General features: G+C 46.5%; 1 annotated feature.

Annotated features, from left to right (window-relative positions):
- Positions 1,581-2,259: an enhancer, noted in NCBI's record as "H3K4me1 hESC enhancer chr12:130667832-130668510 (GRCh37/hg19 assembly coordinates)". NCBI's record gives its function as "activates a minimal SCP1, AML or CMV promoter by ChIP-STARR-seq in naive H9 embryonic stem cells {active_cell/tissue: H9 hESC(naive)}" and the evidence as "EXISTENCE:reporter gene assay evidence [ECO:0000049][PMID:30033119]".

Raw genomic sequence — 19,381 nt, 5'->3', positions numbered from 1 at the left:
AGTCCGACTTTTGGGAAGAGTCATACTTTTGGGAATCCATCCTCACGATTACCTTGGGAAGGAGACCCTACTTCCCGCTACAGAAGTCCGAAAGCTTCTCTCCTTTCCCACCCAGCTTAACCGAGGAATGGCAGCCGGTTTAGGCCTAGCCAGTGGGACAGTCTCAACTAGAGTTCTTGGGGATCAGGGTAGGAAACTGAGGACAGCTGGGAATTATTATGTTAACTGTAGCCACACGGAGCACGGGGCAAGACTATCTGCCCTACGGTTCCTGGTTCCAAATTCTGGACTTCTGACCTGCTGTTCATGTCCGTTCCCCTCCAACCCCACACCCCCACCCCTTAGCTGAAAATGGCTGAAGAGGGAGTTTCTGTGGCTTGCTACCAAGAAACCTGTCTGATACAGCGGGGTAAGGCAGTGTGCTCAGAGGGAAACGTGAGGAATCGAGAAGATGGAGCAATTCATACACCTATGGATGAAGAGGACTTTTAGAAACCTCTTGACAATGATTGTGCTCCCCTGGCTTTGGATGGTCAAATGTTCACCTCGACTTTGCTCTGTGGCCAGCGTGTCAGGCATTGGCAATAAAGAGGCTGGACTGAGGGCTGAGGGGACTTTGGAGTCAGGCTGCCAAGTTCCAGAAAACAGCTGCTGAGCCTTTTGAAGTTAGTATTTCATTACAGACCCAGGTGCAGTTGTCTCTGTCTGTTTGCCCCTAAATGTCTGAGTCAGCTCAAGGGATGGGCAGGGTGGGGAGGGAGCGGAAGGGGCCGCGTTTGGTCCTGGTCCTCCACCACGAAGTTCACTTCCCAGATGGCTGCATTGGAGAAATGGCTCTGCCTTCAGGATGCTGGTGCGCATTCTCCTTGCTATCCTCATGCTCTTTAGCCTATGAGCAGCAGGTCACCTGTGCTGAGACAACAGGGCAGGGCCGAGCAGCTGGAGCCAGCTCCTCAACCGCCCTTCAGCAGTCTGTGTCTCTCCTGCCTCTGACGACTGCAGACAGCTAAGATGGGAGAGTGGACGGGGAGAGGGGGGGCCCATCTCTGGAAGATGCCAATGTGTGACTGATCTGAGACAAATATAGGCCATCACATGGCAGGACATGCCCTGCGTTTCATAGCCTAAATCCCAAAGCCAAAGGGATTCTGTGCATGGTTTTGTTTTGATATCAAGGGACGAGACTCCCTCCTCAGCCCCCCAGAGGACCTGCCATGCGGGAGGCACAGGGCGAGCTGAGCGTGGCAGTTCTGGGAGTGTGTCCTCTACACCCTAATACGTCCTGCCTCTGTGCAGCCTTTATTGTGTCTCTGAAGGAAGCTACACCCGGTGGACACAGCAGAAGCCCCTTGGCCTAGAGTGACTTGCTGTCTCGGGGGGCTGAGGAAAAAACAGGGAAAGGTGACCCAGGACCATCCCAGATGCCACGGGGCACTGCAGGGAGGCTTGGGAGGCCTGTGGCTGCCCCTGATGTGTCTCTGGGCCTTGGTTTGAACGAGGCCCCAGGACCTCGCCTACCAATTCCTGAGGCTGGGGGAGGCAGCGTTCTTTATTCTTTCCCTGCCCCATGCTACTCCCCAGCTAGATAATTGTGCCCATAGATTGAACACCTCTTAAACCAGCAGAAATGTGGTCCCACCCACCAGGGGAGCACAGACCCTGTGAATGTGTGAACTCCACTGCGTGTGTCAGGGCTCCGGGCAGAAGACCTGCAGACAAGCAGACCCGTCGGAGACCAGAGGCCATGGCTCGGGATCCAGATGGTGGTTGTGGGGGGTCTCAAAATCAGCCAGAGCCCGGGAGCAGTGTGGGATAGGGAGCCGGCGAGCGTGCCATTGCAGACCACATGGGACCCCTATTCCCTGGAGACAGGAGCGAAGGAGAAGTAGGCTTACAGATGGCGCCAAGGGTCTGCGTTGAGATGATGAACAGACAAGAAAATCATGGCTGGAGGAGGCAGGGGTGGAATCCCAGCTGCAGGTGGGGCTGCAGCCGTGTGCAGCAGGGGCTGCTCTGACAGTCACTTTTATGGACCTACTTGGTCCTCTAGGCCCCATGACCAAGATGCCATAGTGTCCTTCTCTTACCAATGAGCCACTCAAATGTTACATCCTTGCCCAAGGTCACACGGCTAGCAGGTGGCAGGAGGCAGGATTTAGACTCAGTCTGTCCAGCTTGAGAATCTGTGTTCTAACAGCCCCTCTAAGCACACTTTTGGAGACGTGTGTGAGTTTCCTGCCATAACAAACCACCACAAACTAGGTGGTTTCAAACAGCAGAAATTTATTCTTGAGCAGATCTGGAGACCAGAAGTCTGAAACCATGGTGTCCACAGGGTCATGCCCTCTCCAAATGATCTAGGGGAGGGTCCTTGCTGCCTCTTTCAGGTTCTGGTGGCTCCAGGTGGCCCCAGCTCACGGCTGCATCACTCCAATCCCTGCCTCCATCTTCACACAGTCTTCTCCCTGCATCTCCGTGTCTCAAATCTCCTTCTCCTTTCTCCAGTTATGGATTTAGTGCCCACCCTAAACCCAGAATGATCACATCCCAAGATCCTTAACGTACTTACATCCACAAAGGCCCTATTTCCAAATAAGGAAGGTCACATTCACAGAACCAAGGATTAAGGACTTGGATGTACCTATTGGGTGGCACGATTCATTCAACTGCTTACAGGGGGTTTATTTATTAAGTTTTTTTGGGGAAAGAAAACGAGCTGTGGTAAACAGAGGAGGGACTGGGATCGAGAGAATAGGTCCAAGGGTTCGCGCAGGAGATATGGGGCCACAGGCGGAAGTGAAAGGATGGTGAGAATAAGCATTAACTTGGAGCCATATGGAGTGGAGAAGGACCATCAGGTGACCCTCCAGGTCTTCAGGGAAGAATGAGGGGGGCTGGGTGGAGCTTGGCCTGGGGGAGGAGGACCCACTGGGAAATGGGATTGTCAATCAGATGGGACTGGAATGACCCACAGAAGCAGAAAATGCTCAGCTGAGGTAGAAAAGCATGATTTTCTACTATGGCCAATCTGTTCCAAAGGAAAAAAAAATCTTTCCCACTGGTCCATGACATTTTGGAAATTCTCCACACAGAACTGTCTATTCTCTACATCAAACAAACCTACTATCCAATGGAATGAAAACATCAACCTTAAAAGAGAGGAAAACACATGTCCCACACAGAAGAAGTACACAAATGCTCATAGCAGTATTATTCACAATGGCCCAAAAATTGAAATAATCCAAGTGTCCATCAGAGAGAGGATGAATGGGTAAACAAAACACGGTCAATCCCCACGATGAAATATTATGCAGCCATGAAAAGGAAAGTATGGATTTATCTGCTGCATGAATGAATGCTGACACATTCTCTTAAGTGAAAGAAGTCAGTGATGAAGGACCCCACACTGTATGATTTACATGAGATGATGTCCAGAATAGAAAAATCTATAGACAGAAATTAGATTTGTGTTTGCCTAGGACTGAGGAGGGGAGTGTGGGGGCCGACTGTGAAAGCCATGGTTTTCTTTCTAGGGTGCTATGAATGATCTAAGATTGATGATGGTGATGATTGCATAATTCTGTAAACATACCAAAAGCCATGAAATTGCACACCTTCTATGGATGAATGTATGGTATGTGAATTATAGCTCAGGAAAGCTATTAAAAACATCAACCTAAACCTTTGTACATGGCTGGTAGGAATGTAAAAATGGTCCTGTTTCTGTGGAAAACAGTTTGGTGGTTCTTCAAAAAGTTAAAAATAGAATTATTATGTAAACCAGCAATTTTATTCATAGGTATATACCCTGAAAATTGAAAACAGATGTTCAAACCAATACGTGTACACATGCCACAGTAGAACAGTTCACAACAGCTGGAAGGTGAAGACAGCCCAAATGTCCATCCACGGATGCATAAAACACAAAGTATGATCTGTCCATATGAAGGAATATTATTCGGTCATGAAAAGGAATGAAGCTCTGACTGACTCTGCAACATGGATGAACCTCAAGAAACATCATGCTGAGTGAAAGATGCCAACACAAAAGGCCGCACGCTGTGTGATTCCATTTCTACGAGCTGTCCAGAAGAGGCAAACCCGGAGAGACAGAAAGCAGAGTGATTGCCAGGGGCCAGGGGAGGGAAGAATGGCAAGTGACTCATTATTGGGTGGAGGGTTTACCTTGGAGTGACGATGTTTTAGAACCGCAGAGAAGTGGTAGTTGCACGCACTGTGAATGTTCTACGTGTCACCGAGTGATACACTTTCAATGTTTAACTTTATGTTGTGTGAATTTCACCTCAATGAATTATTTAAAGAAAAATCAACCTGAAGATTGATAACTGTTCTGCTCCTGATTGGTGGCCTTGGCTATGCAAGCATCCTTTCTTTTCCCTACTTTCTCTTTAACCCTCATTTCTCCTTCCTGGAAAACTGGAATAACAATATTTTTGTGGGGATGGAAGGAGATCTTATGTATTAAATGCCTGATAAGCTTTCATAGACTTATAGTGGTAAGAGTTGTTTGTTTGCTTTTCCCCCATGCCTAGCAGTATTCAATAAATATCTGTGGGAATGAGTTAAATAGCTTAAGTTGATGTGAGAAGATGGTCTATTGGGTTTCCTGCAGGAGACGGGTGGCTCTCAGAGGGCAGATGGGCTGTGTCCCCCCAGAATTCATGTGTTGAAGGCCTGGCCCCCCATGTGATGGTATTAGCAGGTGAGGGCTTTGGGGGAGTGACTGGGGTGAGATGAGGCCAGGAGAGTGGGGGCCCCATGGTGGGATGGGAAGAGGAAAGTGCCTGACACTTCACCCACACACGCCGAAGATAGACAGTAAGGAGGCTGCCGTGTACACTCCAGGGATGGAGCCCTGATGAGGAACTGAATTGGCACCTTGATCTTGTATGATTGATCCTGTGCTGCCTCCAGAACTGGGAGCAGGAAAGGTCTGTTGGTGAAGTCACCTAGCCCATGGTATTTTACTGGAGCAGCATGAGCTCCCTAAGACAGATGGTTTCCCTGGAAAGGACTTAAGAGAGGGACTCTTGATCAAGGTGTGTGTGATGGTTAATACTGAGTGTCAACTTGATTGGATTGAAGGATACAAAGTATTGATCCTGGGTGTGTCTGTGAGGCTGTTGCCAAAGGAGATTCACATTTGAGTCAGTGGGCCGGGAAAGGCAGACCCACCCTCAATCTGGGTGGGCACGATCTAATCTGCTGCCTGCTCAGCTCAAATATAAGCAGGCAGAAAAATGTGAAAAGAGAGACCGGCCTAGCCTCCCAGCCTACACCTTTCTCCAGTGCTGGATGCTTCCTGGATGATCCCTTGAACTGGACTTGGACTTGGACTGGCTCTCCTTGCTCCTCAGCCTGCAGACGGCCTATTGTGGGACCTCGCCATCATACTTAATAAACTCCCCTTTATCTATATATCTATTCCATTAGTTCTGGCCCTCTAGAGAACCCTGTCTCATACAGTGTGGGTAGAGTTAAGAGAAACATAAGTGAATGGCGAGGCCCAGAGAGAACAGCCAAGTGGGTGTCGCTGCAATGGAACCAGTCTGATGGGGTCCAGGAGGAGCTGGGCAGCAGAAGCCTGCTCCGGAGAGCTGCAGCCTCGATGGAGGAGCCACAGCCCGCAGCAGCTGAAGCTGCAGGGAAGGGACGGCCCCCACCCTAGGCCTGGCCAGGAGGGACAGGGCGGAACCCGTGCCCTGGAAGCTCACTCTCTCCCCGTCCTCCAGTCTCCCTTGCTGGTACCACTCCGTTGGCCAAACTGGACCCAATCCAGAGGTCAGGGGGCCCTGAGACATGTGGTGTGTGGGGTCAGCCTTCTGGGGGCAGAGAGGAAGAGAGGGGATTGGAAGAGACAACGGGAGAAAGACCTACACTGAAGCCCCTCTCGGACCTACTCAGTGCTGAGGATGGGCCGCCGGTGGATGCACGAACCTCCTCTTCCTCTGTGCTTCCTCCACCTCCTTCTACACCCACAACACCGAACATGGACAGAGGCATCCAGGTGATGCTAAATCGTTGCTGCCACTTGAGTGCACTCGGCTGTGCTCAGAGCTGACCTGTGCCCTGGTCAGCAGGAACTGAAAGGTATTTCTAGGAACGGTGCACTCACCCCACACATCTTGCAGGCCTGCTCCTCGGTCAACGGTGGCCCAGAGGGACAGGTTTTTGCTGTTTTTCATGTCCTGGTGACCAGTCTTTCTTGTCTCTGCTGATCACAGGTGGAGCTACAACATAATTAGTAGGTGGAGTTGCCTCGGAAAACATTCCTGTGGTCAATTTTATTTTTTAAAGCTGGGAAATCCAGGTCTCTGGGTGGCCCCTGTGGTGTCCCTTGTGCTCTTCAGTTGGCTCAGAACTCGTCGTCTTTTTTAAGTAACTCAAGAAATTATGTGGGTCAGCTGCACAGGCGTACACAAAAACTCCAGTCTTGACAGCATCGCTGGACCATTTTTTTTTTTTGAGGTGGAGTTTCGCTCTTTCGCCCAGGCTGGAGTGCAGTGGTGCAATCTCGGCTCACGGCAACCTTCGTCTCCCGGGTTCAAGTGATTCTCCTGCCTCAGTGCCTCAGCCTCCCGAGTAGCTGGGATTACAAGCACCCGCCACCACGCCCGGCTAATTTTTGTATTTTTAGTAGAGACGGGGTTTCACCATGTTGGACAGGCTGGTCTTGAACTCCTGACCTCGTGATCCGCCCACCTCGGCCTCCCAAAGTGCTGGGATTACAGGCATGAGCCACCGTGCCCGGCTGCTGGACCCATTTTTAACAAGTCTTAGATTCGTGAAGGTTTCCTAAATGAAAATCTTAAAAAAAAAAAAAGTGTGTTTATATCTTTGCAGTCCTAGATCGTGAAATATTTCTCCAGAAATATCCTCTCAAGCTGAAATCCCCACGTCTCTGGTTTTACTTCTGTATACCTCCTAAGTATCGGAGCTTCAACTTCTTTGTCCATCTGCTGAAGCAGAGAATCTGCTCCATCCATGATGAAATGTAAAGCCTGCAGATGCATAAATCTCTTGAAAACAGGTGAGAGAAAGGCCAGGCAGCCATCCTCGGATAGACCACTGAACTTAACGAGCCCTGTGCTTCCTGGGCCCTTAATCTAAATAAGAAACATACCGAAAGCTATAAAAGCTACGGGCCTTTCTTTGAAATCTCAATTAAAACCAACACAAAACAAGAATGCTGAATGTCCCCATCCAGGACCATCTCTCAGGAATAAACCTTTAAAATCTCAGTAACTTGAATTAGAACCACTTCCCTCCACGCGCGTCTACAATTCTTCCGACGTTTACTGAAAAATAAATAAATCTTACAAACCGGGAAGGATGGGCTGAGAGAGAACACAATTACATCTACCATCTCAAAACCGTTTTTCAAATCTTTTCAGTCTTGGCGAAATGCCAAAACATGTTTTGACATGATTCTTCCCCCCCTAATTTATAACCTATGTGTATCTGCAAGGAAATTTAATCCTTATGTTTCTGATTCCTTTACACTTAACTCATCAAATGTTACTGTGGAAGAGCCATTTGATGTGAAGGGGCCTTAGAGCCTTTTTTATGAGGACTTTTAAACCTGTTCCCCCTTAGAAACAGGAAGCCAGGTTTTTCCAGGAGTAAACAAACTCAGCCCACAAAAAGTGTCCCTCGTCCGCCTGGAGACCAGATCCGGAGTCCTCCAGCGGCTCCCAAACTGTCAGCACATTTGACAAAATTGCAGTACAGCAGCATCTTTCAAGGAGAAGTTCCTCTGGTTAAAAATCAGCGTGCCGCAAAAGGCAGGGACGGGATCACTGTGGCAGGAAGGAGTTAATTATTCTATCTAGAATCAACTTCTGTTGCCATTTTATGAGAAAACAAAAGATGGGGCGTCCGGGGCAGGAGATGAAAGGAGGCCGTTTCCGCTCTTTCTCTTTGTGGATTTAGGGGCACCCTGTCCCGGGTGGTAAGAAAGGCCACAGGGTCCTATCCCCTTCTCTGATTGAGAGGCAGGGACTCACTTCCCTCTCCTTGAAGTTAGGTGGGCTACGTGACTGCTTTGTCAAAAGAGCATGGTGGTAATCCCAGCACTTTGGGAGGCCGAGGAGGGAGGATGGCTTGAGCCCAGGAGTTCAAGACCCCATCTCTACAAAAAATTTTAAAAATCAGTTGGGTACAGTGGCACATGCTTGTAGTCACAGCTACTTGGGAGGCTAAGCTGGGAGGATCCCTGAGCCTGGGAGGTTGGGGCTGCCTGGTGCAGTGGCTCATGCCTGTAATTGCACCACTTAGGGAGACTGAGGCAAGGGATCGCTTGAGTCCAGGAGTTTGAGACCAGCCTGGGCAACATAGGGAGGTCCCTTCTCTACAAAAAAAATTAAACATTAGCCAGGCATGGTGGCACACACCTATGGTCCCAGCTACTCAGGAGGATGAGTTGGCAGGATCACTTGAACCCAGGAGTCAGTGAGCTCTGATCACACCACAGCACTGTACCCTGGACAACTGAGCAAGACCCTGTCTCATAAAGAAAGAAAGAAAAAAAAAAAAACCAGCATGGCAGAGGGAGTGCCCTGGCCAGCCCCATTTTCTTTCTCTTAAAGAATGCTCTCTCTGGGCAGAGCCAATTGCCGTGTAAGAAGTTTAACTGCTCTTGATGAGTTAATGGGTGCAGCACACCAACATGGCACATGTATACATATGTAACAAACCTTCACGTGGTGCACATGTACCCTAAAACTTAAAGTATAATAATAATAAAATAAAATAAAAAATAAGTTTAACTACTCTGAGCCAGCCATGCTGTGAGGAAGCCCAAGCTACAGCCAGGTGAGGGGGCCCAAGAGGAGGCGACACCATGTGGGGTTTGGGGGAAAAGAGAGACCAAGGTGGCAGCAAGAGGCCAAGTTCATGAGTGAAATGAAAAGCAGAAGTGTATCCTCCAGCCCCAGCCACCCCAGCCATTGCCAAGGTGGCCAGAGACAAATGACCCAGCCAATGCCTGACAACATTCCTGACTTGCCAAATTGTGAGCTGAATATGAATAAAAGAGTCATTTGAGGAAGCTGAGTTTTGAGGTGTTTCACTGTGGAATAACAAAGAACCCGAACACCCTGAGTGAATCGACTCCCCTCCCCTGGCTGGTCTCCTGCCTAGTGAGGCAGCTGCTTTTGTGACAATTATATTCGTGTCTCAGTTGGTTGCAAGTAAGAGAAAACCCCACGGAACTGTCTCTAAAAAGTAATTTATGGACTGAAAAGCACAGGAGAGATTTTATCCAGGCACTGTTTGATTCGAGGTGTGTCATGTCACCATGGCTTAGTGTCGGAGTTTCTGAAAATAGCCCCACTCCAAGTGTTGACCTTCTCCTGGGATCGGGGGCCCTTGAAATAGTAAACATGGCAGAGGCCCTTTGAACCCGACGTCCTGTGCTGCGTGACCCAGAGGAAGAGAGGGTGTCTGTGCCCACCCATGCCTGAGCCTCACACTGATTGGGTTGGTTTCCGTCAATGCCCACCTTTGTGGATATCTCAAGGAAGTGAGCCAGTGGAGACGGGGTGGGGACAACATTGCCTCAGCTGCATGGATACCCAAAGAGAAAAGGGGTGAAATGAATATTAGGATGGCAACCTGCACATGCCCACTCATGAAACAGACACCATTTTAACACTTGCTCCGGAATAAGCAGATACTGCAAAGTCTGCCAGCCTTCCTTTCTTTTTTTTTTTTTTTGAGATGAAGTCTCACTCTGTCGCCCAGGCTGGAGTACAATGGTGTGATCTCAGCTCACTGCAACCTCTGCCTTCTGGGTTCAAGCAATTCTCTTGCCTCAGCCTCCTGAATAACTGGGATTACAGGTGCCCACCACCATGCCCAGCTAATTTTTGTATTTTTAGTGGATACGGGGTTTCACCATGTTGGTCAGGCTGGTCTCAAACTCCTGACCCCAAGTTATCTGCCCACTCAGCCTCCCAGAGTGCTGGGATTACAGGCGAAAGCCACTGCACCCGGCCTTCCTTTGCTTCCCCATCCCCTTCCCTTCCCTCCCCTCCCCACCCCTCCCCTTCCTTTCCCTCCTCTCTTCCTTTTCTTTCTTTTTATTTTTTGAGACAGGGTCTCCCTGTGTTGCCCAGGCTTGTCTTATTCAGGAATTATATAACTTGCTTTGTGTAGTAACAACAGGGCAATATTTGAAATGTTCAACAACTGATTTGGCATAGGGGTGTGGACAAATTCAAAAACACACCAGACAAAACAAACTGGAAGGGCTGCCCTGGTCCGTCCTGTCTGAAGATCAGCCTGCTTAGCAGTGCCGTGTGGCCATTTTCCCATGTTAATGACACGGTTCTACGTAATTACTTTAATGACTACATGTTACTCTATTTTAAGGATTTTCCATAATTGGCTTGAATAGTCAGCTTACCGGTATATATTTAGACTGTTCCCAATTTTCAATACAACATTTATTTGGAAGTGGAATTGCTGGGTCAAAGGACATGTATACTGCAAACGGCACTAGGTACACATCACACTTGTTCTCCAGAAAGGGTGAGCTACTTTATGGTTCCACTCTGTGATACAGGGAGTCCATTTCTCCATGCCTGAGCAAAATCCAGGTATTATCCGCTTTAAAAAAAAAAAAAAAAGTACCAAGCTGGCCAGGCGCGGTGGCTCACACCTGTAATCCTCGCACTTTGGGAGGCTGAAGCGGGCGGATCACTTGAGCTCAGGAGTTCAAAAGCAGCCTGGCCAACATGGTGAAACCCTGTCTCTACTGAAAATACAAACAAATTAGACGGGCATGATGGTGGACGCCTGTAATCCCAGCTACTTGGGAGGCTGAGGCGGGGGAATTGCTTAAACTGGGGAGGCAGAGGTTGCAGTGAGCCGAGATCATGCCACTGCACTCCAGCCTGGGCAACAGAGAGAGACTCTGTCTCAAAGAAAAAAAAAACGGGGAAACCTGTTAGGCACAAATAATCATTTTTTTATGCATGCACCCTTGGATTATTAGAAGTGAGCTTAAATAACTTTCCACAGGTTTATGGGTCACTAGCATTTCTTCTAATTTGAATTGCCTACTCATAGACCCAGACAAGAAACTTAAGTTTTTGTCTTTTAATTTTGTTTATGGAGATTTTGCAATTTTTTTTAAATTAACTGATTTCTTACATTACAGAATTTTACATTTTTATGTAGTGAAATTATGATTTTTAAAAAATGGCTTTAGCTTTGATGTCATGCTAAGAAGACATTTTCCTGATAAGTTTATAAAAAATGTTTACCTGTAATTTCTTTCTATTGAATGAAAACTTTAGATAACATTTTCCCCTAATTACTGTATTATTTTTATGTTTAAATGTTTTATCAATCCAACATGTATTTTGGTGAAAGGCATGAGGTGGGGATGGAATATTACTTTCCCCACATCTAAACTAAGCCTCAACAGTATTGACTGCGTAATCCATTCTTTCTTATTTATTTGAAATGCACTTGAGACTCTTTCTGGATTTCCTATTTTGTTCCATTATTTTGTCTGTTTTAACACTTGGCCCATGCTGTCTGTTTCTGCAGACTCACAGTGTACTTCACTGATAGATTATGTCCTTTCTTATCCCTGTTCCAGGGTTTTTTCCTTGACTACTGCTCAAATTTTATGGATTTAATATCATCTTGTGGAGTTCCACAGAAATACATATTTTAAAGTTGCAATTGCATTATGTTTAGGAATTAACTTGGGGATAATTGACATATTTACAGGCACATGACATGAGCTTCCAATTATTTGAGCCAATTATTTATGCTCTTCAGTAACATCTTCACATTGTCTTCCAAAAGGCTTGCACACCCCCTATGTTAATTTCTAGATAGTTTGTGCTTGTTGTAGGCATTGCATAAGTGATCTTAAATTTTCTTCATATTTTCAACTGGTTCCTGCTGGTGCATGAGGATGCTATTGGTTTTTGTAGCTATGTTTTGTCCTGGTCTCCTTATGAAAATCTCATCAATTCTATTTCCAGCTAAGTCACTTTTCAATGACAACAGCTGCAAATAATGACAGTTTCCAATGGTTTTACCTTCCTTTTTCTTTCCTCTTCTCTGACTTCAGGGTTAATCATGTTCCGGGTAGTGACCAGTAATCATAGATAGCCTTGTTTTGTCTCTGGTTTTAGTAAAAATGCTTTTAGTGTCCCATTATCTTGTATAACATTTGCTGGGTGTCTAATGATCCCACTCCTTGTTAGATGCTTCCTGGAGATTTGTCTTTACTTGGGCACATTCTTCCTTGACAAGAATTGAGACCATGGTAAACACATTCAGGGGACAGCCAGCAAGATGAAACCAAGTTATCTGGGCAACAGTTTTAAGAATAAAAAGAAAGATCCAGGGAGCACATATTACTCTCTGGATCCCCTGAGAGTTGGCAGGTTGGGTGTTCTGTGCCTCTTAGGAAAATATACCTGATATAGCAAATTAGTCCTGGGCATCTTGAACCCTACTCTGCACACAAATCACTGGGGCTCTTGCTAAAAGGCAGCTCCTGAGTCAGTAGGTTTGGGTGGTACCCCAAATTCTGCATTTGTGATAAGCTCCCATATATAAGTGGCTTTCCCATGGAAAAACAAGTAGACTTGCTCTGTGAAGCTCTATGTGGCAAAAGTAGAGATAATAATAGAAAATAGTTACAAGGAAGCAAATTTTAACTCAACATAAGAAATTGTTTTAATTGACAGCTAGTCCACTACAGGACACCCAGGAAGTGATGCCCAAGATGTGTTCATATAATTACAGCCAGGAGTAAGTGGGGTCGTTCTGAACTTCTGGTGGGTGGCCAAATAGATTCTTCACTCAAAGGGGTCAGGAGCACCAGAAGCATCGACATCAACTGGGAACTTATTACAAATGCAGAATTTGGGGTCCCACCCAGACCTAAGGAATCAGGAGCTGCCTTTTAGCAAGAGCCCCAGTGATTTGTGTGCACAGTAGGGTTTGAGACACCTGGGACTCATTTGCCACATCAGGTGTATTTTCCTAAGAGGCACAGAACACCCAACCTGCAACTCTCAGGGGATCCAGGCAGTGTTGGCTACTTGGCATAACAAGAATCCTGGGGGTGCAGTCGCTTAATGAGTGCTCACGAGGCTGGCTCTGTCTTGCTTACCTGCCATCTCAGAATTTTGGCTTTGGTGTTGGGCGTATTGCCTCGTGGTCACAAAATGGTTGCAATAGCTCCATATGTGATTCTCACACACCACATTGTGTGCAGAAGAAAAGGACAGGTTTCCTCATCATTTTTTTTTTTTATCATGAAGCAAAATCTTTTATTAGAACCTTCCTTCACTCCCACACGCACACCCTCATTTTTTTTTTGTCTCACTAGGAAAGCTCCCCTCACATCTCACTGACCAGACCGAGTGACATGCACGCCCCTGACCCAGAGGGATTATTTTACCTGATTTTTTTTTTTCTTGGCTCATCCCCTGGGACATGCGTGAAGCTTTTTGTCTTGGAAAGAATAAAGCTTTTAGAAGGTAGAGGTGAGTTAAAAATAAAAATACTACATTTCCAACTTCTTTTGATGCCTCCTTTCTATTGCATGGTTTTTTGCTCAGAGGCCCTCTGTTTACTCAAGAGATAAGATTCAGCTCAGAACATTGCTGTAGTATTGTGTTTTTTCTTTTAATTGAAAATGGTTACAATCATGACTGCCATGGAAGAATGTCAAATGTTATAATCGGCCGTGTTCTCTTGTTCTCATTGCTTTTGTTCTGTCTTCTTAGACCTGGGTCATCATGATAGCAAATCAGAATCACAACTTCTTCATGGCTATCTCATGTTCTCTTTACCCTGTGCCATGTGTGGAAAAGTAAGGTGGCACTTAGATTCCTAATACTTAAAGTCTCTTGGGGAAAAAAAAAGTTTTGCTGACCTAAAATGCTTCTGAGTTTAGTTCAAATTTGAGCCTTCTGCTGTGATCCTGGAATCCAAAGAAACCGAGGTGATATTGACCCAAGTTCAATAAGACTGTTTCAGATGAGCTGCAGGAAGAGAGGCAGTTCGCAGATGAATGATCTTATTCAGAGCCAACAACATCCAAGTGTTTTATGAGAGGCGAAAATAGTGCAGGGAGAGCATGGGAGGTAAACAGGTGCTGCTGCCCTGGGGGCAGGGGTGGAATGGGGAGGGCTGGGGTGGGGAGAGAGCTGCACCACCCCATGAGCTTGTCAGTTCTGATCAAAGTCAGCACCTGCAGCTCCCGATCACCATCGCCCCCTTGGAAAATGGGTGTTGATTCATCATGTCAAGGTCGATCACTTTGTAGTTCTGCCTAAAATACTTAAAACATTGTTAGGATAGGTTTTAGATGTTTTTTTAAGTGCAAGTATTCCCTAAAATGCCACAAATTGCATCCTTTGAGGACATCTGTTGCAAGAGACCACCTGGGAACATCCCATCCCATCTACAGAACCCCTGAAGCCCCCAGCATCTGGGAAGGAGATGGGCGTGTGGCAAGGGTTGCTGTTATGAATCCCTTCCTATAAACCAAAGGCCCCTGGAGGGCAGCCTGGTACCAAACAATGTATATAAAAACAGAAACATTCAGAAAGTCTTAGAATAACAAAGCGACAGGCACTGACTTTGGGGAAGTCCGGATGGGCTGCGGACATTGTGTGGGATCCAACAGTGTCATTTTCCTAGGAGTGTCCCCAATTACGACAGCTCACCTCGGCAGCTGAAACTTATTCTTTCAGATTTCAAACGTCTCCTTCCCTCCTCCCTCCAGCTTGGCCTTCACACTCTTAATAAAACATTAAAAAACACCCCACACTATGCTGCCTGCACGTGTTTCGCGAGCTTCCCTGAAGTCTGACCGTTTCTCTGCATTTCCATATTACAGCCATCTTTATCCATTTGCGTATAGAGGTGTCCGTGCATGAGGTCTGATTTCCTGGGAAGTCAGCTGTGATGTTATTGTGTTCAAAGGGAAAGACAGAGAATATTTTTCACTGCTGTAGAGGCTCTGTGCCTGCCTTTTAAACTTGAAAGATCAGTGGGTTTTCTGTGGAACCTGAACACAGTATTGGAAAAAGTGTTTCTGTAAGAAAAAAACTCATTTTCTTTAAAGAGCCCTACTCATTAGCTTACAGGATTTAACTTTCTTTGGGGGGAGGGACAAAAAACATAAAAATAGATCACTTTATTGAGCATTTGCTCTGCGCCAAGCAGCCTTCCAAGTACTTCACACAAATGGTTTTATTTAATCTCGTACCATCTCTCCTAGGGCTGTTGTGAGGAGTAGACGAATTAATAAACACAGAGAACTTAAAGCAATCGAGCATGTAATACTTGTTCAATAAGCATGAGCTATTTGTGAGTGACAGTCCAGTGAGATAGGTACCATTATCATGCCCATTTTACAGATGAAGAAACAGAGGCAGGAAAGTTCTGGTATCTTGCTCAAGGTGAAGCAATGTGTAAGTGGTTGAGTCAAACTAAAAACCAGCTCATAGAGAAGGCAAGATATAGTTCAGTCCTAAACGATGTTTATATCTGCACATCCTTTAAGTGTAAGATGCCAGTTTGCACTCCAATCTGTTATCGTTTTCTGTATTTCTTTCTCCTCCTTCTGAGAAAATAATCTAGAATGTAGGATAATATCTATGGCCTCAGGAATACTTCTTGATTTTTCTCTTCTGTTTCTCTGTCTTGAAACAGCATCCCCAAAGATGCTAGTGGAGAATTTAAAACTATGAGCTCTTGGAGCTGATTTTAATTTTGCTCGGGTAGCCCAAGGGTTAAGTTAAAGATACAGAGGCTGAGTTATCACGGGCAGGAGTGGATCCTCCTAAGTCACTCCTGTAAGACCCTTGCTGCATTCCCCCTTAGTGCTATCCGGATCACGTATTTTGACGTTGGATAAGGCCATTTGCATAATCTCCTCTGCCAATCCTCTTATAGTAAAAATGGGCACCCAGCGCCCAAGTGGTTAAGGGGCTGCTCCCAGTCACAGCTCCCCTTGCAACCTCCTCTTTGTTCACCTGGCCCTGAGGTCTGCCCTCCTCCCTCCTCTGTCCCTGGAGAGACCCACTTGCTTCCTGAGGTTAACCACAGCTCCAACTCTCACCATTTCAAACACCCGCCTGTGACCATGACCTCATCCCAAATTCTCTACAGACACCTCGATGGCAAATAATCCACACTGCACTCATCTTTGCTTCCCATCACACTGCCTGTCCTCTGTTGGTTTTCTCCTGTCTTGATGAATGTCACTTTGCCACCAAAGTCAGAAATGGTGTGGTCCTCCCTGACCATTCCTTCTTGCTCCCTCTCTACATAAAACCTAATCCTGGTTCTACCTTCTAAGGACCTCTCCATCCACCTGCTTCCCCCTAGCCCCACTGCTAGCACCCTCGCGACTGCTGCAAAAATGCAGGTTGCCACGGCCTCCTCCCTTGGGCTCCCCCACACTGGCCAAGTGGCTTTTGCTCTTTGCCATGCAACCTTGTTCCCCTTTTGCTTGGAATAAAGGTGCAGCAGTGCTGCTGTGAAGATGAAATGATTTAGTCAAGTCCTGAGAAACCAGAGACGTGGGAAAGCCTCGTGGTCAGAGGTGCAGGTCTGGAGTCCCACAGCCCAGGTTTGCATGCCAGACTCTCTGCTTGCTGCCTGTGTGACCTTGGGTAAGTGACACAACTTCTCTGTGCTCCAAATTCCTCGTCTGTAATATTATGAGCATGAGAGCAGTACCACCAAAGTTTGTCAGAGGATTGAATTAATGCATGTAAAGTGGTCAGCTATTGTTCATTCATTCATTCATTTATTCAACAATTGCTTACTGAATTGGGGGTTCCAGATCTGTTATCAGACCACCCAGTTCCTGTTCTGGGTCTTTTAGTTGTCATGTGACCCTGGGAATTTACTTAACCTCTCTGTGTCAGGGTCTTCACATGTAAAGTGGGGCTGATGACAGTACCTCCCTGAATGCGTTGAGGATTCACTGAGATAGTCCCAGCAGCCTGTTCAGCACACAGCAAGTGGTCTCAAGGCTGTGCTGCTACGATTACTATTATCACAGCCATTGCTATTATTGTAGTTATTCTTACTACGTCCAAAGCCCTCTGCAAGGTGTGGGCTTACATAGGGGATCATGAGCCAGACCCAGTCTGGGTCCCGATGGAATGTTTTGATGCTCTGTTGATAACTTCTCTTGCCTTCTATATGACCCTGCAGCTTCCCCTTGCTATGACCTCACATAGGCTGAATCTTCTGCCTTGTATGCATTTAGGGGCCCTGTGGAAATACATCTACTTTTGGGCCTCCTGCCCTGATGCCTCACAGAGGCGCATATAAGATGTGCCATGCAGGTCTCTCCTGTCCACTGCAAAACCACACACAGACCAGGTACCAGTTCTGTTTCTCGGCCTTAGCATGTGGTGGGTGGTGATTGGCTGGAGGCTGGAGGAAGGAAGGGAGGGATGAATGGATGTAGATCTTGGACAATCTACTTCTTTGGGCTTCTTCTATGACTCCACCACTGCCATGCAAAACAGGTTGCCATTTTTCTAAAACTAAGGCCGTGGGGTACAGATGCTGAGAAATCTCCAAATTAATGCTGTCAACAATTCCTTTGGAAACCCTGTACTGAGCTAAAGAGAATCTAAGGACTAGTGATATGTGTTTGCCTTTCTTTCTTTCTTTTTTTCTTTCTTTTTCTTTCTTTCCTTCCTTCCTTCGTTCCTTCCTTCACTAGTGATGTGTTTGCCTTTCTCCTTCCTTCCTTCCTTCACTAGTGATGTGTTTGGCTGTCTTTCTTTCTTTCTCCTTCTTTCTTTCCTTCCTTCCTTCCTTCTTTCTTTCCTCCCTTCCTTCCTTCTTTCCTTCCTTCACTAGTGATGTGTTTGCCTGTCTTTCTTTCTTTCCTTCTTTCCTTCCTTCCTTCACTAGTGATGTTTGCCTGTCTTTCTTTCTCCTTGCTTCTTTCCTCCCTCCCTCCCTCTCTCCCTCCCTTCTTTCCTTTCTTTTTTTCCCCAGCTTTCTGACTTAAGGCCTTGATGCTTCTCCTAAAACTCACTGTCTGTATGTGAGGGAGGGTCAGATTTCAGCTTAGTAGAGAGAGAGAGAGAGAGAGAGAGAGGAAGAGAGAGAGAGAGGGAGAGGAAGACCTTGGAGCATTTTGCTTGGAAGCTCTACAGCTGCTCCTTGCACTGCTCACTGTTAAACTCACCCAGCTGCGCCCAACCCAGCCACATGTCACAATCCCTTCACATTCGTAAACAAGATCAGTCATTTCTGGGATGGATCCACAGTGAGACACATTCAGGGATAACTAACAACAAAGGCTCTTAGGTATGTTGTTGAATATGACTTTCCTTGGGACCACATTTTCGAGCCTACACACCTGAGCATGGGCAGGTCTGAAGCTGCTGTAGTCCAGGAATTTTAGAACCAAATGTCTTTGTGTTATATCTAGCCTTGTGGCTCACAGCAGCATCCGGACAATGTTACCCTTCTGGACTTTTTGAAAGTTCTATTCCAAATATGTTATTTTCATTTTCCCTAAGAGTGACAAAAAGGAAACGCTATACCCATACATGCACAGAGACATCAATATTTCTATGTAGTCTTTTGGGGGACTAGGCGAAAACAATCAACAAAGAAATTTTATTTGGGGGCATTTCTGAAGCTTTTCTGCCTTCTTTTTTAATGCACTGAAAGCTCTTTGGGATCTTGCATTCTTTTACTTTGCCTACCTAGCTGGTGTTTCCTCCGTTTGTCAAACTTGATCCCAAACCACCGATCTGCCTGCTCCTGTGCCCTGCAAATATTCACGGCCAAGTGCAGTAGCCCCTCAAAGCCAATGTAAGCCTGTTTCCAGCCCTAGTGTTGATGGGTGATCTTATGTTTACCAGGCTGAAGTTCTGAACACCCTCTTCAGAAAACAGACTGCACTAGCTCCAGGCTCTCCTCCTCGTTGGTAAGCGTGTCATCCATGCTCCAAGTTTTCCAGAGCTCCTTGTTTAACTTGGAGCTGGACAAAAGCATGGCCCCAGGGGCAGCTTGGCTTGCTTTATATTAATAGAGTCCTCACCACAGTAGGACTGCACTGTGCCCTTGCTTCCTTCTGGCTGGAACTTGAGTGTAGCTGTGCCTTTGACCAGCAGACCTGGGGCAGTTCTTTACAGCTACCCAGTTCTAACAGGAAACCCTGGAGAAGAACCAAGTACCATGAAGTTCCAAAGCTGCTTAACTTCCTCTTAAGGATTCGCCACCCTTAGCAGGTATTTTATCCCGTCCAGGTCTATAATCTGTTTTGTAAATGTCTTCATAGTTCAGAGTCACTGCAAAGCCAGCACACTTTGGGCTGATGTATACA

This window comes from Homo sapiens, chromosome 12, assembly GCF_000001405.40.
Source record: "Homo sapiens chromosome 12, GRCh38.p14 Primary Assembly".
Taxonomy (NCBI): domain Eukaryota; kingdom Metazoa; phylum Chordata; class Mammalia; order Primates; family Hominidae; genus Homo; species Homo sapiens.
The sequence above is the reverse complement of the archived record's forward strand: the minus strand, read 5'-3'. Positions and strand labels throughout refer to the sequence as shown.